At 44.4% G+C, this 8,973-nt stretch overlaps 1 protein-coding gene across 1 annotated transcript in view, besides 5 other annotated features; it reads right to left on the reverse strand.

Moving 5' to 3' along the window:
• The window catches only part of TNFRSF21 (TNF receptor superfamily member 21), a 78,374-nt gene extending 72,181 nt beyond the window's left edge, over positions 1-6,193 (reverse strand). Inside the window, exon 1 of the mRNA NM_014452.5 lies at positions 5,704-6,193. Coding sequence (NP_055267.1) covers positions 5,704-5,799 — 96 coding nt within the window. The 5' untranslated portion in view covers positions 5,800-6,193. The remainder of the gene's footprint in view (positions 1-5,703) is intronic.
• Positions 5,144-5,866: an enhancer, noted in NCBI's record as "H3K27ac hESC enhancer chr6:47276592-47277314 (GRCh37/hg19 assembly coordinates)". NCBI's record gives its function as "activates a minimal SCP1, AML or CMV promoter by ChIP-STARR-seq in naive H9 embryonic stem cells {active_cell/tissue: H9 hESC(naive)}" and the evidence as "EXISTENCE:reporter gene assay evidence [ECO:0000049][PMID:30033119]".
• Positions 5,144-5,889: a biological region, named in NCBI's record as "H3K27ac hESC enhancer GRCh37_chr6:47276592-47277314".
• Positions 5,660-5,889: a silencer, noted in NCBI's record as "silent region_17274". NCBI's record gives its function as "represses an Ori minimal core promoter by ATAC-STARR-seq in GM12878 lymphoblastoid cells {active_cell/tissue: GM12878}" and the evidence as "EXISTENCE:reporter gene assay evidence [ECO:0000049][PMID:35858748]".
• Positions 6,030-6,209: an enhancer, noted in NCBI's record as "active region_24659". NCBI's record gives its function as "activates an Ori minimal core promoter by ATAC-STARR-seq in GM12878 lymphoblastoid cells {active_cell/tissue: GM12878}" and the evidence as "EXISTENCE:reporter gene assay evidence [ECO:0000049][PMID:35858748]".
• Positions 6,161-6,455: an enhancer, noted in NCBI's record as "tiled region #4111; K562 Activating DNase matched - State 4:PromP". NCBI's record gives its function as "activates a minimal TATA promoter and a strong SV40 promoter by Sharpr-MPRA in K562 cells {active_cell/tissue: K562}" and the evidence as "EXISTENCE:reporter gene assay evidence [ECO:0000049][PMID:27701403]".

Here is an 8,973-nt window from a genome sequence, read left to right on the forward strand (position 1 = left end):
TCTTGGATTCAGGCTAGAAATGAAGGTGGTAAGAAAGCTGGGTGGCAGCATGCAAGCCAATTTAGGATTCCCATTTTATTTTTTGGTATTTGACAAACACAAACACTGGGGCAAGGCCAGTATTTATTCATGATCTCGCCCCTATCCTAAATAATCAAAGCTCAGCAGCTGTTGCTGCTACAGCCACAAGGCCCAGCCTTCTGCTAATGCTAAATGAGGATCCAACTTTGGGAACCAAATTGATTCCTATTATGGCTCCCATTGTCATTCTGTCAAACAGACATATCTTTGCCTAATGGTCCACACTGAGTCAGCTCCAAGTGATCACTGGACACATGCCCAAAGCTCTGAGATAACCTGGGCTCTTCTTGTCACAGAAGAGAAGCACCTGAGTTTGCCAAGAAGTTGCTGGTGACCTGGCATCACCGGAATTTGCCAGGCCTGCTTGGGGAAAGAAAGCCAACAGAATATTAGTGCTTTCTGGAAAATAAGCACAAGGAAAAGTCACTCAATTCATACCAGCCCCTGAATAGTAATGATCTGATAATGCACCGGATCATTTCGTGTCACCAAAAAAAAACCAAAAAAAAAAAAAAGATGTTTATTTAAGGCAATTAGAGTTTACATGCTTTATGAAGGACCAGCTGAACACAAAATTAATTTGCAAACTGTCTATGCAGCCTCCAAAGAGGCTTCACCTCTCATCTTCGTGGATATAGTTGCCTGCAAAGTTAAAGTGTGATGTCTCCACATTCTGGTCTACAATGAAGAAAGGACAAAGACCACCTGCCAGAGCCAGCCCAGAAGCTCCCACCTATTTGTTCTGACCCAATAATAGCATACCTGGAGAAAAGGACTGTCTTCAAACTGCCCCAGAATATACAGCATTAACTGTGCTTACTATATCCTGCTTGATAGACTTTGTCTACATTTAGCCACACTAAAATATGTCATGCAGGAATTTGGTGGATATATGCCTTTTCAAGCCTCCCTTTTTTCCCTTCCCAACTTAAGGTAGTCCTTAAATCCCATTTACGAGGAATTTTTTTTATTGCTGATTTGATTTACTTGTGTAGTTTATTTACACTAGAGGTGTGTTTGTTTTGTACTGGACTTGGGGAAGATTCAAACATATGCCTTCAGAAACAGTTCAGATGACAGAGCTCAATTCCATTATACACATTTTGACTGTAATGATAACTCATGGGGTCGGTCAGGACTCCTGCATTCCAGCACAGGTTCTGCGCTCCCCATTCCTCTGATTAGAAGTTGCTTTCTCTACTGAGGCTAACGTATGTCATTCTCAGATTTGAAAGTCTTTTTTTTCTCTTATTCTCAGACTAAGAGCCAAAGTTACTTCAGGTATTTTAAAGATTTTAACATCAATCATATTTTGTGTATTAAGGTAAGTATACTACATTCATCCAGTGATTCCACATGAGCGAGTAAAACCCAACCAGCACTGGTGATGGCCATGCTCATTTTATATACCATACGAATTGTACCTTCATGGCAAGATCCAAATCCCAATTCATCCCTGGGTTCCCACTGCCCAGAATAGTGCCTCACTTAGAAAGGGTGCTCGATGCAGTTTCATTTGTAAACATGAAAAAGCAGTCACTTCCCCAGTAGAGTATTTTTTTTTCTCTCAACCAAAAAATACAGGGTGTTAAATCAGTATTTTTTATGCTCCCTTCCAGCTTTCACATTCTAGGATTGTAGAGCTAAGATATATAGGAGAGAGAAAATCTTTTGGATATAATATCAGCTCTAATTTAAAGTTCTGCTCGAATTTGCCACCAAGTCTTGACATGATTCAGAACTTCAGCCCCCACCAGACCACTCCACACCTGCCCAAACAGCCAAAGTGAATTGCCAATGTACGAGGTAATGTACTTTGATAAATGATGGTCAGGAGGTAGCACTAAGCTACATGTCTAGTTTCAGTAACAGAGAAAAACACTATTACTTGGCACTTTCTAGGCAAACGCACAGCTGGACAGGCTATAACAGCAAATAGCCCTCTATCTGGAATTCATAATGCTTGCAAAAGAGTTTTCTAAAACTTCAGACCTCATATCTTTACCAATTATGGCTCCCTTCTCTTCTGAGGGCCTCACTGCCAAAATCCTACCTATGCAGTTAAAGCGAGCTCCCCGAGGGCAAGGGGCATCTCTGACTAAGTAGTGTCACTCTGGGCAAGCCATTCTAGAGCATTCCTTATCACTGGCACAAACCTAAAGCTCTCATGGATCTTGTCTCTGCCTTACAGAGATATGATATAGCAAGGGTAAGTGTCTCAGGCAGAATAGTACAATTGGTAAAGTCAAGATGGTGGAAGGTAAGCTTAGATTCTGAAGACAAAGCACAATCATGCACACTAGACTTACTGGGTGTCGAGCAACAAGAATGTTTTGTCCACCTGAGCCCCAGACTTTTGAACCCAGCTCTTGTCTTTCAGTGTATGTTTTACTTTCTATTATCATGCAGACACTCATCAGAAATAGAAGTGCAAGCAGCAAGAATACTTCCTTCCAAAGGCATTCCTGTAATTCTCATTCACGTTCTGTAACAAACCAAACCACCTTCTTAACTTTTCCCCAGTGAGCCTTCTCTGTTGTTACATTTCATTATCAAGCAATTTGGACTTGTGAAACACGCAGTGTGGCACAGGGCTAAGGGAGGACATGAGCTGAAGAGCCAGGCAGTCCTGGGTTCTGGCCCCAGCAATATCACGTGCAAGCTGTGTGGCCTGGGACAAACCAATGAAGTTCTGGGAGCTTCCATTTTCTCAACTATAAAAAGGAGACAATATCACCTGCTTCACAAAGATGCTATGAATAAATGAGATACTGTATACAAAGCACCTGGCATGTAGCAATTGCTCTCTCTATACATATACAATTGCTATATACATGTGTATATATTATATCATATTGTGTACCTATATATTTGTATTTTTATAAGCTTATAGTAAGCTATTTTTCATGCAGTTAGCCGGTCATGACAAACAAAAAGTCATAACACAAAAATGATGACAATAAATATTATCACACAAAAAGGGAGATATTTGAAAGAAGAGCATTAAAAGACATAATAAATAGAACATTTTACTGGGATTATTACTTTTTAATCTAACTGTAATACGTGGGCAGGCCACTAACTTGCCCACCTCCCCCAGTAGTGTTCTGAGTACCCTGCCACGTGTACCCAGGCTCCAGTACCTGATGTCCGTTATGTTCACATGGCCAAGGATCCCAATGGGATAAATACTTCTTGGAACAGTATCATGAGATCATCATTTTATACATTAACAAAGCCTGTGCTGTGGACTTGGGCATGCAGAATAAGAATGTGAAAGACAAAAGGCATTTCCTCCCCACCCTGGATGGGGATTATAACATAGTCTCTACTGATTCCTGGCACACCCTCCAGTCACCCTTCAGGATGAAGGGCTGAACCTCATGCCATTTCATGAATTTACCTGAAGTCTTTTTAGCATAGCTAGCAGAAGAATAAGGAATCCTGTATTGGTTATCAACTTGAGACTGCTCCTAAGCCCCATTATAAATTTTATCTTTTTCAAAGTAGCCAAACTTAAATTGTCAGGTCTTTAGTTGCAAATCCAGTGCACAATTTTTAGGGTAGGTTGAGTTTGATGACTTATTTTTTATTTTGGTTTTGGAGACAGGGTCTCACTCTGTCACTCAAGCTGGAGTGCCGTGGCATGGTCACAGCTCACTGCAGCCTCAACATCCTGGGCTCAAGCCATCCTCCCACCTCAGCCTCCTGAGTTGCTGGGCATACAGGCGCACACCACCGCCACACCCACCTAATTTCTTGTAGAGATGGGGTCTCACTATGTTGCCCAGGCAAATCTCGAACTCCTGGACTCAAGCAATCCTCCCACCCTGGCCGCCCAAAACGCTGGGATTACAGGCATAAGCCAGGGTGCCTAGCCTGATGATTCAAGAAAAGGAGCTGGGCCCTTTCTCAGTTAGTTAAGGCAACCTACCATTTGATTACATCAAGACCTTTGTTTAATTACCTACCTCATGCTAAAAGGTAAAATAAATGGAGTATTGCACAATGACTTAAGATTTAATCTGGGAATGGACTCTGTGAGGCATATAATAATCAGATGTGTTAGAAGCACCTGAAACATAGTAGTGGATAGTAGTGGATCTAAAGCTGTGAAAAAGGAAATGATGATAGTTCTCACTCCACTGAACTAGGATCAGTGTTCCCATGGACCTAGATGTGTTTCTCTCCACACCAAGACTGTCAATCCAGGTTCATTGTCCCAAGAGACTCCCCGACTACTGCTTACCATCCACCACACTTGTTTCACTTGTTTCAAAGATATAAACCTTGGCCATGCCATTAATAAGTGGGCAGAAAAGAGTTTCTGAAGGGAGACTGGGACTTGCCTCATTATAAATGCTAACAGTAACAAACTTTTATTTAGTCTCTCTCTTCCTCTTAAAACACACACACAAGGAACCAGAGTGTCTGTAGGATGAATTCCCAGGCCATAGCAACTGCAATGTCCTGAGATCTAAGCAGTTCTTGGCTGGCCAGGCGTTAAGCCCTTTTGGGGAAGGAGACAGCAAGCCTGCTTTTCCCTTACACAGCCCTGTCGTGAAAACAAGCTCTTGTTTCTTGGGGGTTTTTTTGTTCGGTTTTTAGCTAAGAATTTCCATCCCTCCTGCAGTGATAAAAGATAGGCAAGGGAAGCTCAAGGGTTTGATCTCAAATTTTCTTCCACCTAACTTGCCCCTTCACCCCAATATTTGGAAATAAAGGGAGGGAATTTGGGGGAAGTTGAGGGTAAGTTTTTGGTCAAGATGATTGACCCGAGATGTGGATGCAGCTTAGACGATGAGGGAGACTGCACCACCCTGCAGGGTCACCTGCCTAGCCACAGGTAAACGAGGGATCGGAAAGACTGTAGAAAATTCATCTTCCTTCACACACATCTCCTTCCCCCTCCCCCCATTCCAGTGCCGGCGCGCTGGCTGGCTGGAAGCCGGCGCTTTGGAGGCGCCGGAGAGTGGGTCTAAGGGTGATATTTCGGCATACAGAACCTGAGACCCCACCCGAGCCAAGAGGGAAGAGAGAGGGTAAAGGGATTGAGGAGGGGGCGGCTTGCGCCCTGCTCGGGAATGCACCGCGCGACAGCACCCGGAGGTCTCCGGTGTCCGGCGCGCACCGGTACCACTGTCTTCCACTGCGGTAGCATCCCGACATGACATTGCAGCTGCAACAAAGCGCCGGCCTCGGCCGGCCGTGGGAGCCCCACACCGCGGCGAGGCCCCACACCACGCAGAGGGGCAGTGGCCGATGGGTGGGGGGCTGTGGCTGCGGGCGTGGGGAGCGCGAGGTAGGCCGAGTAGGGGGAAAAGCCCTCAAATGCGCAGAAGCTGGGCGGCTACCTCTAGCGTCTCCTCCAGCAAAGCCAGACTGCAAGGAAAACAATTCGTCTTCATTCCCCAGCCCCGGCTGAGCCCTGAGATTCCCCCAAATAACCTAGTCGAGGCCCTCTGGTGTGTTGCCTTCCCTTGGAAACCCCTCAGTGCCCGTAACCCAGTCGGCCGGGCCCCGCGCCTCCCTAAGCCCCGGCCCGGTGACCCGCCCGGCTCCCGGAGAGCGGTTCCTTCTGCTCCGGCGCCGCCGCCACCCCCGGTCCACGCAAGCGCTCACCAGGAGAAGGGAGCCCGCGATCATCGTGGCTGTGGCTCGGCGGGCGATGCGGCTGCAGGAGGCGAGGGCGGTGCTGCTGCTCGGAGAGGTCCCCATGGCTGAACCGGGGACTCGCAGGGGCGCCCGGGGCGCGCGGGGCAGCTGGAATCGGCGGCTGCTTCTGCCCAGCGCCGCATCCACCGCCGCCTCCCGGGCCGGGAGCCCATCTACCTCCAACACCCCATGTGCACTGCTGCGGCCGGGCAGAGGAGGGAGGCGGCAAGGGAGGCTCTAGGGGCGCTCAGCACCTGCCCAGCGGCGCGGCCGCCCAGGCGGGGAGAAGCCGCCGCGACTGCAGCCCGCGTCTCCGGGTGCTCTCCTCCGACAGCGGCTGAGGAGAACCAGGGAGGAGGACTGGGCGCGAGAGAGCAAAGGAACGACTTCCCATAGCGAAGCTTCCAGCCACTGCCAACCACCCTCCTCCGCTGCCCAGACTGGTCGGCGAGGGACTGAGTCGGTGGCCACCGGGCGCAGGGACACACGTGGTGGCGCCGAAGGGGCGGGGGACCGGCCCTTTGTGATGTCACCCGGGAGGAGGCCGGGCTCTTTGTGCGGTTGGAAAGGCGAAGGCGTTCCAGGTAGAGCGGGGAGGGAGAGGGTGCCCCTTGGCGTTCGCTGAGGAAATTGCACGCGCCTGTTGACCCAGGGAAAGCGCTGAGAAAGCATCTCACTCCTGATCTAACTTTACTTATTTTTTCCGAGATAATTCCAACTAAATTATTTCAGCTACATACGCCTTTCCATTGTTTCGGACACGATGATTAAATCAGAGAGCGATGGTGAATAGACCACAGAGCACTTAGATCAACTGCGTGACGAAAAAGGAGACCTGTGTGTTGCTTCTCAAACTTTGCTGCCCTGTGGAATCACCTGGAGAGTTCAAAACATATATATTGATTCTTGGGTCCCACCTCTAGAGACTCTGATTTAATTGGAACAGGACAGGATCTGGTCTGGGCATTGAGGTTTGTTGTTGTTGTTGTTTGTTTGTTTTTTAAGTTTTCAGGGTGATTTTAATATGGGGCAAAGATTTTAATTTTTTATATTTTAATTTTAATATGGGCTTATGAATGCAATTAAGGAAATCCAAACTAAAAGGATTTAAAACCCAGAGTCATTGGTGTTGGGTCCATGGATGGTCTTGGAGGGACTTTTGAACTCCTTGAAATGTATCAAAAGATGCATTTTCCTAATTTAAAAATCAAGAGTTTTGAATCGGATTATCCCTGAGATTTTTTTTAATCACCCTTCCCCCAAAAAATAATGCTAAAAATTTTTGAGTTGATTTCCAAAGGCCTTGTCAGGATGTGGGTGGTAGAATAGGTAGTATTCTGCTTCAGAAGGAGAACTGGAATATTCTCGTGGATGTTGGTATCTCACACACTTCTGAATGTAAGAGAGCAGCTGTTATCCTTTTCTTTGTTTCACCTGGGGGAAGGCCGAGTCTCCTGACTGTGGCCACCATTTCTGGTATCGTGTTATCCATCATCTAGGTACTGACAGCACATGGCACACTGTATTGATATTACCTCTTCAGCCATCCAGTCCACACCCCTCAATTGGGAGCCCTATGGTGCTGGGCTTATCCTAGGCTCCTTTGGTCCCATTTCAAAAGAATCACACTTTTTAAACTATCAGTTTCAAGATCCAACACCCAGTGCTAATAAAGGTAACTTGCTAAGTCATAGGTACCAATTATTTGCTTTATTAGTTAACATGTTGTCCTTTGATTCTTTGCTCTATGCACACTTTGGTAGAAGCTAAAATTAATATGAGGGTTAATTCCAATCTATTATTTCAAACATTTGTCAGTATTGTCTATAAATGTTAGAGTGGGAAAAAAGCTACAATATATAACCTCTAGTGAAATTCAAAGGAGTTCTAGAAAATATTACCATTAATTATGGAGTTTTGGGGAAAGGATGATGGTTGGACTTGCCACTCTCTAGCTATTTTCAGAAGTTGAAAGAGTGAGGGATAGATGCTGTGTTTTCATGCATAACTGTATCAATTTTTTCTTCAAAAATTCAAATGACTGGCCAATACTATTATAAGGTTGGGTTGTTTTTTTTTAAGAAGTTACATAGGTATTAAAGAGGAGGAGGAGCTTCAAATACGTTTTTATTTAGTCCATTTTACTCCTTGCATCCAAACTCACATTTTTCGTGGTAATATATGATTGATTTGCTCTAAAGAGTTGGGCAACTTTAGAGTTTAGTGTCTGGGTTACTATGCAGGTATAAGAAGTTCTTCTCAACTATTTGTCTTCCTAAAACTAAAAGAAAATTGTTTATTTGTGCTTGGACCACTTTGAAACTTCATGAATTCCTGGTGTTCCATTGATCATATCAAGTTGAAATTTAATATACATTTTGAGAGATGAAAAAATTTACTCAATTCTGTTTACTACTAACATTTAAATACATGTCCCTCTATAGAGTGATAGATTATAGATAATTTGAATCTAGATGCAGTGTGAAATTTTATTACTTTGAATTGAAATGTATACATGCCTTCCATTTTGAAGTAACAATGCTGCAACCATTAAATAATTCATTGCCACATTTTCAATGTGGTAACTTAGACATGTCTGTTTTCTGGGAAAGGATAAAAATTCAATGATACATAAGGAAGTTTCTCCCAAAGTTCCAAGGAAAGAGGAGATATGTGTTGATAAATCATAATTATAGCTAAATTTTAAAGGAAGGCCTAAATGAGTTAATCCAATGTCATCTTTGCCATAAAAATTACTCTATCTCCACCCTCCATCCTACCTTTGGACTTTCTCTCTTTCTGCCAATGTTGTACAATTTTTCTAGTTTTCCAACCTCAAAAATCATTGCTAATTCTTTCCTCGTCCTTAGTACATTCCAATTAATGCTTTCCTAACCTTTCATTTTTTTCTATTTTATCTTTCTTGTTAAAAATCTGATATATACATCTGGATACTGAAGAAATCACCAGAGATTGCGCCACTGCAGTCCGCAGTCCGACCTGGGCGACAGAGCGAGACTCCGTCTCAAAAAAAAAAAAAAAAAAAAAAAAAGAAATCACCAGATTTACCATCTTGTCTTAATTATTTTTTTAACTTATCCTGCACACTTTCAGAAGGTCTAGTAAAATTTCATGTTCTTTATAATGAAAATAACAATTGTCCACATTTTGAGAAATGACTGCTGCATGACAAACATCCTGAGCCGATCTATGAGGGAATGACAGAAAGTTGGCAGG

This window comes from Homo sapiens, chromosome 6 (assembly GCF_000001405.40).
Source record: "Homo sapiens chromosome 6, GRCh38.p14 Primary Assembly".
Taxonomy (NCBI): domain Eukaryota; kingdom Metazoa; phylum Chordata; class Mammalia; order Primates; family Hominidae; genus Homo; species Homo sapiens.